A 20,233-nucleotide genomic window follows, 5' to 3' on the forward strand; every position below is an offset into this window, starting at 1 on the left:
CTCTGCCAGCCACGTGTACAGTAAGAAGAAGACAAAATGGTGCTGGCCAAGGGAAGAGTCATTAGCATAATAATATTAGGGTGGGGTAATCAGCCCTCCAGGCCCGCTATGTAGACGTCACACCTGATCAAATCAATCTGTGAGCCCTACAAAAATCAGATACCACCTCCTCAAGCTGGACTATAAAATTCGGGGCATCCACTGCCTGCCAGCCTTTTCCTCTCAGAAGTCCCCTCTCTCTCACTAGAGAGAGAGATGTTTTTCTTTCTCTTTCTTTTGCCTATTAAACCTCTGCCCCTAAACTCCTCAAGTGTGTCCCTGTCCTAAATTTTCTTGGTGCAAGACAACGAACCCCGGGTATTTACCCCAGATAATGTAGCCGCTTCATTTCCTCATCAACAAACACTTATCTTGTGGCTTATTGATGACAACCATCCTAACAGATGTGAGGTGATAGCTCACTGTAGCTTTTATTTGCATTTCCCAATGATGAGTAATGTCTTCATACATAGTTACACCAAGATGCTCCAGAGCCCACTCTAGATCTTCCCTCTTAATAATAACCCAGTACATCTCATGGGTAAGCCCATAACCAAGACTCAGTGAATTCAAATTTCTCTGCTTGGACTGTGAATATTACATGGAGGCAAGTAAAGACTGAAAAAAATCAGGAGTTCATTAGTTCCAATGGCTACACCAAAGACCTTCTGAAGCTGCCTGGTTTTGTTTGTTCTAACCAGACATCCAGTCTTGATTGTGAGTTCCACAATCTAGTTGTATTAAATTCTCTATTGGCTTAAGTCAGACAGTCAGGTCCTGTTACCTACAAACAAAAATCTGTAACGCACACAATTTTTGTTAAAGCTTGCAAGTGGTTAGCTATTTTCCTTGGAGGTTGAATTCTCAGACAACCAGGCTGTTTGGTTGTGTATGTGTAGATGGGCATAAAAAGGGAGGAAATATTAATAGCAATAATTTACTTAGCGCCATTTAGGCACTTAGCCTATATACACCCTGCAGAAACAAGCAAACAGGCTTTTCAGGGTTAAGTAATCTGCTTAAAGGCAAAAAGTTGCAATTAGAAAAGCCCAGATTAGAACCCAGGTTTATCTAACTCCAACCAGTGCCCTTCAACATTCTGCTCTTATGTAAAGAGATTATAAGGCAGTAATGCATTCAGAATTAATCTTCTACATGTATCCACAGGACTGGAAGTGCTCAGGAATATATGTTGACTGATTAAAACAAGAAAAGATCTATTAACAATTTAGATGAATGAGGCAGAAATTGGAAAAAAAAATAACATTTTTAGGTAAGCATTATTGTTTTATAAGGTCAAACTACTGTCAAGTTTACTGATTACGCATCTGGAAAGAGGAAAAATTAACACGTTGACCCACTGAGCATTGCTATAGAATTACTTTTCAGCCTGGGCAACATGGTCAAACTCCGTCTCCACCAGCCGGGCGTGGTGGCACACGCCTATAATCCCAGCTATTTGGAAGGCTGAGGCACAAGAATTGCTTGAGCCCAGGGGCGGAGGTTGCAGTGAGCCAAGATTGCACCACTGCACTCCAGCCTGGGAGGCGGAGTGAGACTTCGTCAAAACAAAAAAAGAAAATACATATATATATATACACACACACACACACACATATATACACACATATATGTATATATAATGTTACTTTTGTGTTATACAAGATATAAATTTACCATATGTAAATATTATAAAGCTCAATAAGCTGCTACTTATAAAGTCTATAATGCTCCATTAAAAAATCAAAAGATTCCCTTCATCCTAGGCTAGAAATAAAGTGTATCGTAGAAGCTCTTTGATCCATGGATAAAATTTGAGAGAGATGAAGAGGGCAGTCAACGAACTTGGATGCAGAAAAAATATGCCTTGATTTTCAATAACTTATAATTGAAATTTAAAATATGGTTCAATTATGAATGTAGGCCATAAACCTGGTATCATCAACAGTACCTGTGACTTTTGCCACCAAAAGTCATCATAGATTTAAATATTAAGTTGTAGTGCCTGCAGATCTCTTGAAATACTATTTATACTTGTTACTTCAAAATCACAGTAGTTAGTAAATGTGCCACTGTCAGAGGCGTTTGAACCAGAGCAACTCCACCTTAAACAGGAGCTAGGTAAAATGAGGCTGAGACCTACTGGGCTGCATTCCCAGACGGTTAAAGCATTCTAAGTCACAGGATGAGATAGGAGGTTGGCACAAGATACGGGTCGTAAAGACCTTCCTGATAAAACAGGTTGCAGCAAAGAAGCTGGCTAAAACCCACCAAAACCAATATGGCAATGAGAGTGACCTACAGTCGTCCTCACTGCTACACTCCGCCCACCGCCATGACAGTTTACAGATCCCATGGCAAGGTCAGGTAGTTACCCTATATGGTCTAAAAGGGGGATGCATGAATAATCCACCCCTTGTTTAGCATATAATCAAGAAATAAGCATAAAAATGTGTAACCAGTAGCCCTCTGGGCTGCCCTGTCTATGGAATAGCCATTCTTCTATTCCTTTACTTTCTTAATAAACTTACTTTCATTTTACTCTATGGACTCACCCTGAATTCTTTCTTGTGGGAGATCCAAGAACCCTCTCTGGGGGTCTCAATCAGGACTCCTTTCCTGTAACACCACTAGATCTTGTTATTCAACGCATTAATTAAAAAGTACCTATGCTGCTGTCAAAAATATTTCTAATAACTTATATTTCAATGTAATTGGTTTCTTTCATAGTTCTGTCTTTTATCCATGTTTGCCTTTTTTTGTTGGTCACAAGCTAGGCTACGTTTCCCAGCCTCCCCTGCAGTTAGATAAGGCCATGTGACTGAGCTCTAGCCAATGAAATGTGTATATATGTAAGCCATTTCTGGACCTAGCATATAAACACTTCCCACAGCCACTTCTCCATGCTCTTCTCCTCTTTTGGCCAGCATGACCTTTGAAGCAACCATGCTTCCAGCAGCCCAAGTCCCTGAATAACTACATGAAAGAGGCCACTCTACCAACCTGTTTACCCACACCTGTACCTTTAAATAAACAACAAACAGATTTGTATTTTGTTTGAGCCAATGAGTATATATTTGCTATAGGAGTTTGCACTACCCTGACTCACTGGTTCTCAAACTTTATCAAGCATCAGAACCACCTTGAAGGCTCATTAAAATACAGACTTCTGGGCCACACCCTCGGAGTTTCTGATTCATTAAGTCTGGGATAGGGCTAAGAATCTGCATTCCTAACAAATCCTCCAGTGATGCTGATGCCACCATCATGTGAGTACAGTCTGAGAAACCAAAGGTCCTGCCCCTTACTGTGTGGTGAATGAGTAGTTTTGGTCTTAATAATACTGTATCCCATCGTGCTATATGCAGGGGGACCCTCAGGATTAGAGCAATTTAACTGTTTGTTGTTTTAATAACCCTATATTAAAAGATTGGTCCTGGAAGTCACTTTGTCAGCCGGGAAAAAAAATAATGTATCTAGAAGATACCGTTCTGTTTTCAGAGAGAATGTATTCCCTGGCAAGTAAAGGAAAGTGGGGCAAAATATTACCTTTTTAAAATCTTTTCTAATAACTAGTCATTGTTTGGTATAGAACATTGGTCCCTGGAGTTATGATGACAACAAAGAGTCTGTTTTGGAAAAGTCTAGGGAACTGCACATTTCTTTTTATTTATTATTTTATAGAGATGAGGTCTCGCTCAGTTGCCCAGGCTAGAGAACAGTGGTGTGATCATAGCTCACTGTAGCCTAGAACTCCTGGGCTCAAGTGATCCCCCTTCTTCAGCCTCCTGAGCAGCTGGGAATACCTGTATGCACCACTACATCCACTTAATATTTTAAAGAGACAAGGTCTCACATGTTGCCCAGGCTGGTCTCAAACTCCTGGCCTCAAGAATCCTCCCACCTGAGCCTCCCAAAGTGCTGGGATTATAGGCATGAGCCACTGTGCCTAGCTGAATTGTACATTTATTTTATTTTATTTTATTTTATTTATTCATTTTGAGATGGAGTCTCACTCCAGCACCCAGGCTGGAGTACAGTGGCATGCTGTCAGCTCACTGCAACCTCCACCACCTGGGTTCAAGCAATTCTTCTGCCTCAGCCTCCCAAGTAGCTGGGATTACAGGCATATACCACCACACCTGGCTAATTTTTGTATTTTTAGTAGAGACAGGGTTTCACCATGTTGGCCAGGCTAGTCTCGAACTCCTGACCTCAAATGATCCACCCACCTCGGCCTCCCAAAGTGCTGGGATTACAAGCATGAGCCCCCGTGCTCGGCCTGTACATTTATTTTAGATAAACTTTCACAGGTTAGTAATACAGTGTTTATTTCATATTGACTGATATTATATCAACTGCTTATTAGTTCCTGCTGGTAAGAAGCACTGATTTAAACAATCAGAGAGCCTTAATGTTTTCTAAATTGCAAATGAACTACAACTTAGGTGCAGTTTTGTAAATGAAAATATTTTAAAATCTCTTAATAATGTCAAACATTCCCTTCTTAAACAAAAGGCTCCACCCACAGTCCCTGCTGCCTGAGGAAGCATGTTTTGTACTGTAGCCTCACACCCCTCCAGTTATGGTTGCTGGTTCTTGACACTTAGGCTGTGTCTATCAGAGTTTTTGCTTTGAGAGTCTGAGAAAAACTGAGAGCCTGGGCTGCTTAGCATAGAGGCTGCAAGGGAGGAAGGGAAGGAGGAAGGGAGGGAATTAATTCTATAGATCAGTGCTTCTCAAACTTTAATATGTACATGGATCACCTGGAAATCCTATTAAAATGCAGATTCTAATGCAGTGGGTCTGAGTGGGGCCTGAGAGTCTGCTTTTCTAACAGGCTTCCAGGGTATTCTGATGCTGCTGGTCTGCAGACCAAACTTTGAGTAACAAGGATGTAGAAGGATTCATGGAAACTGTGTGCCTCTGGTATAGGCTGAGGCTATCAGGGGCCAGAAATCATAAGTGAAAAGGGCAAAAGGAAAAGAAGCAGCTAGTGGAGTGGAATGGAGTCATTCCTACGGCATCTCGCTACTGCAGGGAGTGAGGCCTTTAATCTGTAACCAACTTCCAGTTCTATCCATGTAAAGCCAGACCCTCGTATGGATCTTTTTCTTTGATTTCCATTAAATTATACATACAACATGCCTTAAAATATAGTATGTCTCTGATTCTGCATCCAAATGAGCCTAAGACACTAAACACAGTCTTGGATGCGGGTGGGGAAAAGACTAAACAAAGACTACGAGGTTGAAGCTACTTGAGATACAGCATCTTCTCCTTTAAAGAGCTTAAAGTGCTTTTTAATTATAAATGTTAGATTAGCCCAAGCAGGGATCATAGTGTACACTCAGAAAAAAACTACATTTTCTTTCCTGGTCGACCTCTGAAATCCACAATGAGGGGTTCCTTTTCTCTCAATACTACATAAGATTTTGTGTAGATCTATAATTTTTCTGGTCATTCTCAGATAATTAAAAAGTCTCCCAACCACTTCTAGTCACAAAAGCATACCATTCCAATGAGGTCACATCACTCCTTTTGGTTTCCTCCTAGATGGGGTTTAAAGTGACTCCAGGCTCTTTCTCCCAAGACAGCTGTAAGAAATATTCATGTATCCTTTGCCCCAACAAATTCTGGGAGAGCAGGCTGTTTCCAGTGCAGCCCTTTCTGCTCATTCCATCATTAGAACAGTGGTCCAGCCACAGTCTCTGGCCCTTTGGAATTATTATGGAGTCTTGGGGTCGGGCGCAGCACACTGCTAAGACATTCCCCAGTCTCTAATCCTGACCTGTCTAACAGAGTAGCTACCAGCCACATATTTTTATTTAAATTTTAATTAATTAAAATTAAATTAAAATTTCAACTTCTCAAGCATGCTAGCCATATTCTAAGTACTCAATATCATATGTGGCTAGTAGAGACCCTATTGGATAATACAGATAAAACATTTGTGTTCTCACAGAAAGTTCTACTGAACAGCACTTCTTTAACCTCTCACAGATGAAACCTTAGCCTTTATCCATATACCTAAAATCGGTGATGGCTGACTATAACTATCAGCATAGACTAACGGCTACAGCAAGCAACACCAAAACCTCAGGAGCTTAACACAATAAAAGTTTATGCCTCGCTCATGTCACGCATAGATCAGCAAGTGGGGGTGGTGCTCTGCTCCACAGAGTCATTTAGAACACCAGGCACCTTCCATCTATGGCTTTTTAGGTTCTCAATATCCTCTCCACTCTGCTGGATTATGGAAACTAGGGCCAGGATTGTGTGCATGGTTTCAGTACATCAGACCTGTAAATGGCACACATCATTTCTTACGTTTCATTAACTAGAACCCAGTTACAAGGTCATCACCAAGTTGCAAGGGAAGCTAAAAAATTAGTTATGTGCCAAGAATAAGAGAACACAGACATTGGTGAGCAAAACACAGTCTACCACAGAGCTGGTGGCAAAATCAAATTTATAGCTACCTCCTACATAGGGCTCTACTCCTCTCTCTGGCAATGTGAGCCTTTCTGACTACAACTATTGGGGCCTCAAACAAAACTAAGACAAAAAGAGCTCCATTGACACATCTTATTACATAGCCAAACAGAATCTGAGTCCCATTTATCTAACACTTTTCCAGCATTGTTCAGCTCCTAACTACATTCAACTCTCTTTAATTCTTTACAGCTCCATAAACAACAATTATTTCTACTTATCAAGCATTTCCTATGTGCCAAATACTATGCATGCATTATCTCACTATTTCTTGTAATATTCCTAGTAGGTAAATACTTTTTCAATGCCCATTTTACAGATAAGGAAATGGACACTTAGAAGTTTGCCTAATACTTTGTAAGTATCTGCTCGAGGACTGAAACTCAGCAACCTGATATGTGCTCTCCACCAAAGGTCAGCAAACTATCACTCTTCGGACAAACTGACCCACCATCTGTTTTTGCAAAGTTTCATTGGAACACAGCCATGTCCATTCATTTACATATTGTCTATGGCTACTTCTCTGCCACAAACACAGAGTTAAGTAGCTGCAACAGAGATCATATGACCTGCAAAGTCAAAAATACTGTACTTATTATCTGGCCCTTTACAGAAAAATGTGGCCAACCCCTGCTCTATAGCACCCTGTAGGGCCTTGAGCACTCTGTTTCTAACACAGACTGAAAAATAATTTTGACTTGATGTTTTGGTCTGCTAATCTGTACTCTCAGTCAACAACCTAGTCTATGAAATATAAGGTCAGCCTAATTTCCCTCTGGCAGCCGTGTCTACTCCATCTGTTTGTAGTTTCTAGGCAGATCAAACAGCATCTGTTATGTTATTTCATCAAACACATAGATGATGCAGTTGGATTATTTTCCTAATCTGATGATTTTTTTTATATTTAGACTGCAACTACCAGGCAAAAGTCTGCACAAATTTTATCAACCCTACTGCAATCCTTTATCCTTCCCATCTCCAGCTTTGGTTTTTAGGGATAAAGTCATTAGCCACTGAATGACAGCAGACTTTTATGAACAGTGGCTGTTCAGTAAGCCAGGGTTTATTCTGTTGAAATTGCCCTACACTCTTATTTTTTCTTAGACTGAATTCATCAACTTCATGTTTTGTACCAAAATGAACCATAAAAAGAAAATAAATATGCTTGGCTTTCAGGCATATTTATGGAACCAACAATGCATCCATATTAAGTATGGAACCAACAATGCACCCATATTAAGTAAGGAACCAACATTGCATCCATATTAAAATTAAAAGAGGGTAGAAATTACACTATATTCAAAACTACAACTAGTCTGGATAATGTGGGGCATACCCCACATTTTCCCCCATTCCTTGGGCCAGTTGCTGAGAGGGTGGCAGCATGGCTTTTAGCTGGGAATTGCCCTCCAGCCTAAGAGCTAGCTGTCACATCCCGTCCCCCAGGCCAAATGCTGGTCAACAGGGAAGGGCTAGTGATTGCTTCAACTAGGGACAACTCTGAAACTTCCTGTGGGATCTTGGGGCCATTGGCATATGCAACATAATTCCTCCGTGGCCCAATCCTGCTTCCCTCACTATTTTAGGGTGTTTTTCCCGAGGGCACTCCCCAATAAATCTCCTGCATAGAGTCTCCATCTCAAAGTCTATTTTTCTGGGAAGCTGACCTGAAACAAACAGTCTGATTTCCTGAACAGTGCCATCAATAACTTACGAACCATATTTAACATTCAATGACAAGAAAGATCCAGCAACAAAGAGCTTCTAGAGGACAGAAAACTCATCAATACAAAAAATGAGAGTAATGGCAAAACACTGGGCAATATACACATCAAAAACAGGTAACAGTAACCATATGAAAAAGCAAAGTGGGAATAGACAAGAGTTCTAGAGAGAAACAAGCTCCATTCAAAGCTAAGGAAGGCAAATGAGGAAGGCTGACTGAGAAACAGGAGCAGCAGTCAGTGCAATCTGCTCTTGCGGCAGCCAGAGCTCAGCTTCTCTCAGCAACGGGCCCACAGCCCCGGGCACAGACAGTCATGCGCAATGACAGACTCTATAAATAGCTGTGCCACCAGCAAATCATAACCCAGCCTTCATAATTATAGACCAAGGGATTTTATAGATGATTCTTTAAATGTGAGCACAATCTGTTTGCATGCAGCCTTTTCTGAGATACTACTCACAGACATTATCACTAGTGACCATGTCTACAAATAAAAAGAGTCACGGTTTAAAAATATGTATATCTAAGATAACGTCCTTCTCAAGACAAGAACTTAGGAAATATAAAATAAAAAAGCATGTTTTATGGGGCATTTACAACTTCCCAACTGCAAATTCTGAGAAGCCAAATAGCACCCAAACAGCAAGATTTCTGAAGTGGTAAATGTTCACACTAAGCAAAGGCCAGGAACACTAATCATAAGAAGACAGCCTAGAGAGGTGTGGTGAGAAAAGAAAATGGGCCACAAAAAGAGCACAGGAAGGAAAGTCAACTGAGATAGATGAGGTTGTGCAGCCCACTGAGTGTGCAGCACAAAATACGGGGGTGGAGAGTGAAGACAGGGACAGAAAAAAAGGTAAGAAACAAGATGAAAAAAAGAAAGGAAAAAAACGTGCTAATTTGCAATAAGTCACAGCAAAGTCCTAACTGAGTCTATTTCAAGGGCATCCTTAAGTGACTTTTAATACCACTACAAAATCAGTCTTTGGAGACAAAAGTCAATGTATCAGGCAGTACATCAGAAATCACTCAAGACACAAGAGAGGACAAGAAGACAGAATAAAGACCTAAATGTATATGCAAACTGAACTGTTAATACTTTACGCAAGGGAAGAATGAGTGGTTAAACTAATCTTACAACGATAGCCATATCAATAGCAACCCCAACAAACTATTCTCCAGTAATATCTTTGTCTTCAGATACAATGTAATCCTAACACCTTCTTTGAGAATTTCCTGCATTGAAGCCAACCCTATCATGACTGAGGCAGGCTAAGCCATAAGGCAGATGGGAAGATGGCAGATAGTTTAGACGGTTCAGATAGTTCATATAGTTCAGACTAGCTCAGATGGCAGATAGGTGATAGGGAGGAAGTAACAAGACAAGTCGGCTAAGCGTCATGAATATGTACAGGCAAGAGCTCATACATCAGCACAGCCATGAGAGGATCCATGAATCAAATCCTCAAAGCCAGGCAGAGAAGAGCCATAGGACACTAGGTGATTAGTTCAAGCACAGCAGGACCTGGACAGCCATAAGAGGTAGAAGCCCTAAGACCCCTGAGTGTCCTGTTGTTGCACACACCCTCCCCAGAGTTCCTGAACCTCCCCCAGGATCTAGAAACTACAAAGTATTGGACCTTCAGTTGGCAACTCTTCTGACTGCTCAGTGCCCACTTTCTACTGGTTGTTAAATATTTTGAGCATCACTCCTGCCAGTGCCCGAACTTAACAAAAGCTATTCAAGACCTGGGTGCAGTGGTTCATGCCTGTAATCCCAGCACTTTGGGAGGCCAAGGCGAGCAGATCGCTTGAGCCCAGGAGTTCGAGACTAGCCTGGGCAACATAGTGAGACCCTGTCTCTACCAAAAATACAAAAAATTAGCTGGGTATGGTGGCGCACACCTGTAGCCCCAGCTATCTGGGAGGCTGAGGTGGGGGGATCTCCTGAGCCTGGGGGGTCGAGCTGTAGTAAGCCATGATGGGGCCACTGTACTCCAGCCCTGAGACAAGATCTTCTCTCTCTCTCTATCTCTCTCTCTCTCTCTCTCTCTCTCACACACACACACACACACACACACACACACACACACACACACACAGAGAGACAGAGAGAGAAAAGCTATTCAGGCTTTTGGGCTGGAGTTCCAGGCAGGATTTCAAGTCCCAAAGGTGAGCTACATTACTAAGGTAGGGAAGCAGCATTCACTGGGCCCCCATGAAATGGATGCTTGCCAAGACTCGCCATCAAGCCCCAGGCATGCTAAAAAAAAAAAAAAAAAAAAAAAAAAAAAAGACAGGCAGAGGCTCCTAACACACACTGCTCGGACCAGGTATTTCTCAGAAACAGCAATAGCCCACTGAGGATACACACAGCAGAAAGGACTGACCACTCCTGCCCACTGTCTGGGGGCTGAACCTTTGCCCTTGCATAGATCAAATGTGTATTTGGTCTGTGTTCAAGTCTTAAATGCTTTTTCTGGCAGCACATTCTCTCTCAAAAATCTGCTTACTCTGAAGACACACTTAGCAAGAAAGGAGAAAAAATATTTTCATGACCTAAAATCTTCTGATAATTTATGCTGAGTAAAGACAGAGAAAAAGCAGAAGGGAAAGCCAACAGGAGCAGGTTTTAAACAAAGATGGTTAATCAAAGGTTTGTGAGAAATGCTTGTGGCTAGTCCATTTTGTGGTGGCTACAGCATTTTTTACTGTTCATTTCTGCTCTGTCTTTGACAATGCATTACATGGATATCTGCATAAACTGTGCATAAGAAGTCACCTTGTATTGACTCCTTTTCCTAAGATGATGTTACTGAATCCAGATCAGTAGCTAAAAGCTTTGAAGAGATTTTTGTTACCTTCTCTTGCCCCTCTTGCAGTTATTTAGGCAAGAGCTATGAACTTTTTAACCTGAATCATATTATTCCTGTTGACTTTTCCCAGTAGACTGATTTAAAAGAAGTTTATTTCAATGTGGCTTTTTAAATAGCACTTACCACAGTTTGACTTATCATGGATATGAAGGGGAGGGACAGCTTCTTTTTCATCTTTGTGTCCTTCATTGCTCCTACTTATGTTTGGGCACAAAATAGACTCTCAATATGCTTTGGGTTTGATTTTTCCTTTTTAAAGATCTACTTGTGTGAAAATTTCAGAAAAAAACAAATTAGAAACTAAATCCACCTAAAATTGCAACCCTTTTTTGAACCCTATAAATAAGTGTGAATGTCCCTGTTTTGAATCTTCAAATACATCCCTCTAGAGTAATCACTGTGATGTTAGTTCCTATCATCTTGACTTCTCCTATAAAAATAATTCAACAAAAATGGGATCTTGTTTTATATATATGTTTTCTACATTGCTCTTTTTATGACATTTCAGGTTCAGGTGTACATTCTTTTTTTTTTCTTTTTTTTTTTGAGACAGAGTCTTGCTTTGTCACCCAAGCTGGAATGTGGTGGCATGATCTTGGCTCACTGCAACCTCCACCTCCCGGGTTCAAGTGATTCTCCTGCCTCAACCTCCTGAGTAGTTAGGATAACAGGCACGTGCCACCACTTCCAGCTAATTTTTGTATTTTTAGTAGAGACAGGGTTTCGCCATGTTGGTCAGGCTAGTCCCAAACTCCCGACCTCAAGAGATCCACCCACCTCAGCCTCCCAAAATGCTGGGATTACAGGCATGAGCCACCACACCCTCTTTTTTACAACTGAATAATTTTCTAGTTTATGCACGTACCATACTTAACTATTTTCCTACTGACTAGAATTCGGACATTTTAATTTTTTTCCAGTATAAACAGTGGAATAAACAAAATATCTTCAACTAAATCTTCTTTACTTAGAAGTGGTATTTCCAGTCCGTAGGAAAAAGTTTGAGAGATACTACAGGTACCAACTTTGTCTCTAAAAATGTACCAAATTACATTTCTAGCAACACTATGAAAGTGCCTTTTTAATTCTATTATCTCCATCAACACTGGATAATATAAATCTTTATATCTGTTGCCTATGTGATGGACAAAAGGCATTTTGGCATGCACCTGTAATCCCAGCTACTTGGGAGACTGAGGCAGGAGAATTGCTTAACCCGGGCGACAGAGGTTGCAGTGAGCTGAGATCGCACACTCCTGCACTCCAGCCTGGGTGACGGAGTGAGTTTGAATTTGCGTTATTTATTAGTAAAGTTAAAAATCTTTGTATATTTTTATAAGCCATTTTTTTCTCTGAATTGTCTGAATTTTTAAATTATTTTTTATATTTTTATAAGCCATTTTTTTCTCCGAATTATTTTCTTCTCTGAATTGTCTGTTCACATGCTTTGCTCATTTTTGTACAACTTATATGTATTTCTTATTGATTTGAGAAGTTTTTTATATAATATGAATAAAATAATTTACTATATATGCAGCAAGTATTTTTGCCTAGGTTGCAATCTGTCTTTTCATTTTGTTGTACATAAGTTTAGAATTCTTTTATTCAAAACTGCCAATCTTTTCCTTTATGACTTTTAAATGTTTGTCCTAGAAAGCTTTTCCCAACTGCAAAATTATAAAACATTCTCCTATACCTTCTATTTTTTTAAATCCTGTAAATGTACACTTATAATCCATCTGGAATTAATCATATGTACATTTTAATCCATCTGAAATTAATTTTTAAGTATAGTGTGAGAGACACAACTAATTTTATTTCCTGCCAAGTGGGTAACATCATCTACTTAACTATCCTTTCTCCAATGAATTTATTGTATTCATTTTTTAATTTCCTAAATATGTTAACTTTTTATTACAGAAAATTCCAAAATATAAAAAGATTTTAAAAAGAACCCTAAGTACCTATCACCCAACTTTAACAACCATTAGTGCCTCTCTATTGATTCCAAATGCCCATCTTTATTATTTACTAAACTCCTACATAAATTTGGATATATATATTTGGGCCAGGCAAGGTGGCTTACACCTGTAATCCCAGCACTTTGGGAGGCCAAGGCAGGCATATCACTTGAGCCCAGGAGTTTGAGGGCAGCCTGGCCAATATGGTGAAACCCCATCTCTACTAAAAATACAATAATTAGCCAGGCATTTTGGCATGCACCTGTAATCCCAGCTACTTGGGAGACTGAGGCAGAAGAATTGCTTAACCCGGAGACAGAGGTTGCAGTGAGTTGAGAGCCCACCATTGCACTCCTGCACTCCAGCCTGGGTGACGCAGTGAGACTCTGTCTCCGGGAAAAAAGAAGGATATATATATCTAAACACTCTGCTCTGCACCACTTCAATCAATGTGGTTATTTTTACAGCAATTATATAAACACATAAAAATTTTGATAAAAACAACAAATATATAGACTGTTTACACTGCATTGCAATGAGATAAAAAGTGTAGTAAGATACAGGCTAGCTACTGTAACAAAGAGATCCAAAAGTACAGCTATTAAAATAAGATCCAGTAACCAAGGGATCTAAGAACCCAAGATCCTACTCTATCACTGCTCAGCCTTCCCCTCCAATATTACTTGCCCACAGGGTTGAAGCTAGTTTACCACCACAATTCCTTCCCAGGCATGAGAAGAAAGGGGCTATAGGAGGCAAGCTGATTCTTTTAAGGGCTTGACCTGGAATGTGTATATATCACCTCTACTTATATCCAATCGGCCATAACTTAGCCATAGAGTCACACACATCTGCATGAAAGGCTGGGAAATGAAGTCTCTAGCTCGCTCACCATGCGCCCAGCTACAACCAGGACATTTCTATTACAAAAAGAAAAGAATAATTCTTGGTAGAAATTCATAGTCTCTACTACAGTGAGCAACCGTTAAAAATTTTTTGGATCACGGAGTTTCATTGGTTGTCTATAAAAAGTACTTCAAAGCACTGCCAAATTTAAAAGCAAATTATGCAGCTTTATTTTATAGAAAGACAAGAGTTCCAAAATTACTAACTTTCAGTAATAGCAAGATGCCATCAACAGCGGTTTTTCTTTTTCTTTCTTTCTTCCTTTTTTTTTTTTTTTTTTTGAGACAAGGTCTTGCTCTGTCACCCAGGCTGGAGTGCAGTAGCACTATCACCACTCACTGCAGCCTCGACCTCCTGGGATCAAGTGATTCTCCTGCCTCAGCCTCCGGAGTAGCTGTGACCACAGGAACACACAACCACGCCCAGCTAATTTTTTTTTTTTTTTTTTTTTTTTTTTTCACAGAGACAGGGTTTCCCTACGTTGCCCAGGTTGATCTGGAACTCCTAGGCTCAAGAGATCTTCCCACCTTGACCTCCCAAAGTGCTGGGATTACAGGCATGAGCCACCACGCCCAATAGAGCAGCAGACATTTTTAAACAAATAAATCAAACAAATAAAGGTGATATTTGAACAATGAATGAGAAAGGAACTGCTCTTTTAAATTTCTGGAACAGAAAGAGCGTTTCAAAAATATGAATTTGAATATATTTCTACTAACATGTGATTCTGTTCCTCCCAAAGAATATAGGTTTATTATCTAGAAAAGCTCTAATTTTGCAGATTTTAAAATCTGAAAATAGAGTTTTCTAATATGTTTTAAAGCCAACTAAATGCAGATCTTCAGTGAGTTCTGTAATCATTTGTTAAAAGTAGAAATATCAACACCTTCAGATTATAAGAAAATCAGTTGACATCAAGAAAGATGAAAATTTGCTAGTAAATTTTATTTTTAAATAACTTTGCATAATCTATGGATGAACTTGAAAAACAAATATCGTGATTAGTAAGAGCAGTTATCAATGCATTTCTTCCATTTGAATCTTTTTTTGAGATAGCAATGACTAAAATCAAATATCAAAATAAACTGACTTTAAAACCAGACATTGAATTACTAATTCACATAGTGTTAAAGATTTTTTAAAATAATGAAGCACATTTAACTGCATTTTTCTCATGTTGAAATCTGTTTTACATAATATATTAGAATAGGTGTATATGTATATGTATATAATTGATACGTAAATACATATACATATTGAGTGTGCATGCTCAAATTTATTTCACTGGTGGGGGTGCAATCAAAACTGTGAAGACTACCGGCAGAAAAGGATCTTTTTGTTATTTCGTATATTTATCTCCAACATATAAAAAAGGAAGAAAAATCTAAATGGACTATAACCATAGAAGATACAAAAGAGGATAGGAGAAAGATCTAACATGAAAAAAGGTTCTAGGCACAAAGACTTTGCACACATAGCCCCCATTAAATGCTAAACACACAGCACTGAATTATTATTATATTGCTGTTTACGAAATTATTTCCTTAAATACATACATATATACGTATGTATCCTTTCTCCATATATATATATCATTAAAATATATAAGTTCCTATTCCCATTGACTATTAAAATCTCTGTTTTCCCATGCACTGATTCAGTTAGCACTCCCATTTCCAGAAGCATACTGCTTATGTTAAAAAGGGCTATGTGTGTACAGTCAAGTTCTATCTAACCTACAACAGGTCATTCCTATATTTTTCAAATTATTCTAAGAAATAGAAAAAGATAAAAATTTTCTCATCAGGCCAGCCCATGGAGCTGCAGCCGCCCTTCGTTCCCTCCTCACCTTCCCTACCAACATCATGGTCCAGGTCCTGCTTTGATTTACTTTGGGCAATGTGGTTGGAATGTAACTGGCTCAGAACTATGGCATACTATACAAAACCTGGCTAAAAAACTTGAAATTAAAAAGGACTTGGATGCCAAGAAGGTTGGAGCCTAGTTCATGAGGCACTGTCTTATAGATACACTGATTCTACTCTCTTGAGGGTCTCCTTTACCATCTGAACCAAAAGCTTTTGTTTGCATCTCTAGCCTCAGTGACCTTCTTCTTTGCTAAACCCTCTGTTTTTTTTGCCTTAGAGCAAGCAAAATGGGGCCCCAATTTGAGAACTACCCTTACATTTCTGGTATTCTCACCTCTTCCATATCCTCCTTCCAGCTGCATGAATGGTTCTAAGACTGGAATTATGGTGCTAGATTAGCAAATATGACTTTTAATGAGTAGTTTCTTCTTTATTGTTTGGAATTTCTACTACCTTTTGTCAAAAGAAAAATGGATGAGCTTTGTACAGCTGGTCAGATACAAATAATGCTGATTTCACAGTTTAGCAATTATAATGGGTGCTTGTTAAACATTACTAAATTTTATTGTTTCAAAGTAATTAAAATTAATATTAAGAAGCTAAAAATAACTCTAGATTCATGTAAAGATCCTAGCACAATCTAAAAACAAAACTTGATAAACTCAAGGAAATAAAGTATACATCAATCTAACATATAAGTTTTAAAGTCCTAAATAAAATCTTGCCAGAACTATCAAAGTGAGTTAAAATAATAATATTCCAAGACTAAATAAAGTTGATTCCAAGAAATCATGGCTGATTCAATAGGGAACTCATTACTGTAATTCACTACAGTTATAAATTAAAGGAGAAATAATTATATCAATAGGTACCTCAAAAATTCCCTTAAATTTTTAAAATTCAATTAAGTTCAGGAGAAATTATTGATTTTAAAATTGAGTAAAATAAGAATAGAAGGAAACTGCCTGAATATTAAAAAGATTACCTACCAGGAAGTTTTATTTGGGACTTGTTGATTTTTTTCCTTAGCTTAGACAGAGACAGTGATCAGAAAGTACTTATTTGGGAATTTTGATTTTTTTCCCTGGATTAGATGGAGAGAGTGGATGCTGGTAAACCGGCTCACTGGCAAAAAAAAAAAAAAAAAAAAAAAAATCCTGATGTAGGGTGTATTAGTCTGAGTTCCCCAGAGAAACAAAACAGATAAGGAACTGGCTCAGGCAATTTGGAGGCTGGTTAATTCAAATCTACAGGATGGGCCAGTGGTTCAGGAGATGCAAGTAAAGCCAATGTTTTAGTCCAAAAGCCATTGAGCAGGAAGATCCAATGTTCCAGTTGAAATCTGAAGGCACTCAAGTGTAAAATTCTCTCTTACTCAGGGGAAGGTCAGTCTTTTTGTTTTATTAAGGCCTTCATCTGATTGGATGAGGCCCACCCACATTATGGAAGGCAGTCTACTCAAATCCACCAGTTTAAATGTTAATCTCATCCAAAAACACCTTCCCTATGGCCAGGCATGGTGGCTCATGCCTGTAATCCCAACACTTTGGGAGGCTGAGGCGGGAGGATCACTTTAGGTCAGGAGTTTGAGACCAGCCAGGCCTACATGGCAAAATCCTATCTCTACTAAAGATACAAAAATTCACAGGGTATGGTGGTACATGCCTGTAGTCACAGCTACTTAGGAGGCTGAGGCAATTGAATCGCTTGAGCCTGGGAGGCGGAGGTTGCAGTGAGCCGAGATCACGCCACTGCTCTCCAGCCCGGGCGATAGAGCAAGCCACCATCTCAAAAAAAAACCCTCCCAGAAACACCTAGAATAAATGTCTGACCAAGTACCTGGGTACCCCATGGCCCAGCCAAGTTGACACATAAAATTAACCATCACATAGTGCTTGCCAAAATTCATGGTATAAACACTCCCATCATGGCCATGATATCACTGAACGCAGAGTTGGAACGATAAACATAAAACTGGCTCTCCCTAGCTGATATAGCTCCCTATCAGATAGCTCTCCCTGGAGAGCCAGTTATATGCATATTGATCCCCAGCTCCAGCTCACCAATGGATGGAGACTGATGTTATATATTTTTTAATATTTATATTTGTGTTTATCTGTATGTATATACATACACACACAGTTCAGCTTTTCTGTGTTCAAAGATAGCCTGAGGACAGGTTTAATATGCTTAAACAAGAAAATCTGAGAGCATGGTGTCTTGCCGATACAAGCAATTATATTGGTTTCTTCTCAGCTTTGGTCATCTTCGATTTCTACTAATATTCTCTTATGGTGAAGGAAATTTTACCAAGGCAATAAATTAAACACAGAAAGAGAGCTAGTTTTTTTTTGGTACTGGAAACATACAAAGCCATCATTTCTAATTTTCAAACATATATGTCACTTATTTTAACTTAATCACAAGAAGCCCATACTTCTTATGATTAAGTTAAAATAAGTGACATATGTGTTTGAATAAGTGACTCTCCATCCACAGTGCAGGAGAGATCTCTCATTTCACCCTATGTTGTGTCCCCTAAAATGTTCCTAAGTAACTTCTCATTCACAGTAAAAATTCAAAATAGGCTTAATTAGAGGCCACTTTCCTGTGCTATGGAAATTTACTTAATCCAGCTTATTCCTTTTATAATTAGAACACCTGTAACAAAGGACTGAAAAGTACATTACCAACAGCATAGTAGGAAAGAGATGGGGAGGAGGGGGACACTGAGTTCTATATGTGGTCATTTGAGTTTAAAGAAAAATCCATATCACAAATGCTTGCTTTAATAAAAGTATTTCTTTAATTTAATAAGATAGGAGGAAGAGGATCAGGACATTCCATCTCATGCCAAACTTTGATGGAACTGGCTAACATCACACTAGTGTTGTTTTTTTTCATAGGGATTAAAAATCATCTATTTGAGCATCTCCATGGTCAGTCCATTTAAAAAGCTTTCTTAGCATAATAATGCTAGGCCAATCAATTATTTTTAAAAAACATACAGTCGAAATAACATTAATAGGGAGCATATGACTTTTCTCACCTAGACCCTATGGAGATTGGCAAAGCCAGCAGTCAGGAGTTAAAGCACACTCTGCCCCTGGCAGAGATGGCAGAAACAGGGAAAAGAGATAGGCACCCACATTGACTTACAGGTAAAAACTGGCCTTCTTATATATCTACATTTTGAGTGGGAAAAGGGATCACAATGTTTATACAGTTCAGAATAATTTTGGTGGCTAAAGCAGTTCCAAAGAATTCTAAATTCCTCTCTTTGTCTTCCGAACACAGCTTGCCGATTAGAATTTTTCCAGCAGCTCAAGATGGGAAAACATTCAAGCTAAACATAATCCCAAGTTCTCTTTATATTTATCCTTTCCAAGTGGAAGCATCATGGAAATAGGTTTTATTTCCCTCAACCCCCTCAATTTAATCCTCTGCTTTCAGGTCATCTTATCTCCCAATGAATCTATTTTTAGCATCCCTTATTAATCCCTTTGATTCCCTTATCTCTACTATCATCATTTCCTGAAGCAGAACATAATTTCCTGATGCAGGAAAAATAAACCAAAATTTCCCGATCCAAAAGCTAAATTACTATAAAGCTACCAGAGGATTTTAGACTTTCATAGTCTTGAAACTGTCTTTCTGACTTATTCTGATATATGCCTTCGAGTAAGCAGATGTAGAAAGTGTGTTGCCAGAAAAGCATCCACAATGTGAACATAAATCAAATATAAATTAAGTTCACTCTGAATGAAACACTATGTTTACTTTTCATATAGTACAGGTGGATTTAAAAAAAAAACCTTTTTAGCATCTGGAACATGTCTGGAGCATGGTACTAAAAGTTCCTACAGAGTCCATTTACCCATTTGCCACTCATCTTTCTTTCTCTCCACTTTTTGTTGGGTCTCATTTATTCAGTAATTCAACGAATATATTTTGAAACCTACTATATATACAGCAGTGAGCTAAGCATTGGAAACAAAAGAGAATAAACATGGAATGCACCCTCAGCAGCAACCAGCCTGGTGAAGGAGACAGACTTATAAGTAAACAATGCAATAATGGTAACATGATAGAAGTAAGCTCAGGAGACCGTAAGGGGAAATTGAGGAGGGGGTCAGTTCCTGAGGGGAAGGAGGAACCACTGTGTGAGGGAAGCCAAGGCCATCGCTTCAAAAACCAGTGAGGATTCAACAGGGACAAAGTCAAGGAAAGACCTGCTGGTCAGAGAGAGGAGGATGCATGAAGGCACTGAAAAGAAATGATGAGCCAGGCAGCTAGCGATGAGTTCACAATAACAGGTGTTATTCCACCTTTTCCTTTACTCACACTAAAGGTAGTTAAGTG

At 39.1% G+C, this 20,233-nt stretch overlaps 1 protein-coding gene across 4 annotated transcripts in view, besides 2 other annotated features; it reads right to left on the reverse strand.

The window, feature by feature from the left end:
• DST (dystonin) overlaps positions 1 to 20,233 on the reverse strand; it is a 496,835-nt gene that overhangs the window by 448,467 nt on the left and 28,135 nt on the right. The window lies entirely within an intron of this gene.
• Positions 5,640 to 5,809: an enhancer, noted in NCBI's record as "experimental_92363 CRE fragment used in MPRA reporter constructs". NCBI's record gives its function as "activates a minimal promoter by MPRAs in K562 erythroleukemia cells, with activity observed for the introgressed 6:56776985 variant allele {active_cell/tissue: K562}" and the evidence as "EXISTENCE:reporter gene assay evidence [ECO:0000049][PMID:34662402]".
• Positions 8,927 to 9,096: an enhancer, noted in NCBI's record as "experimental_92364 CRE fragment used in MPRA reporter constructs". NCBI's record gives its function as "activates a minimal promoter by MPRAs in K562 erythroleukemia cells, with activity observed for both the introgressed and non-introgressed 6:56780272 variant alleles {active_cell/tissue: K562}" and the evidence as "EXISTENCE:reporter gene assay evidence [ECO:0000049][PMID:34662402]".

Source organism: Homo sapiens, chromosome 6, assembly GCF_000001405.40.
Source record: "Homo sapiens chromosome 6, GRCh38.p14 Primary Assembly".
NCBI lineage: Eukaryota > Metazoa > Chordata > Mammalia > Primates > Hominidae > Homo > Homo sapiens.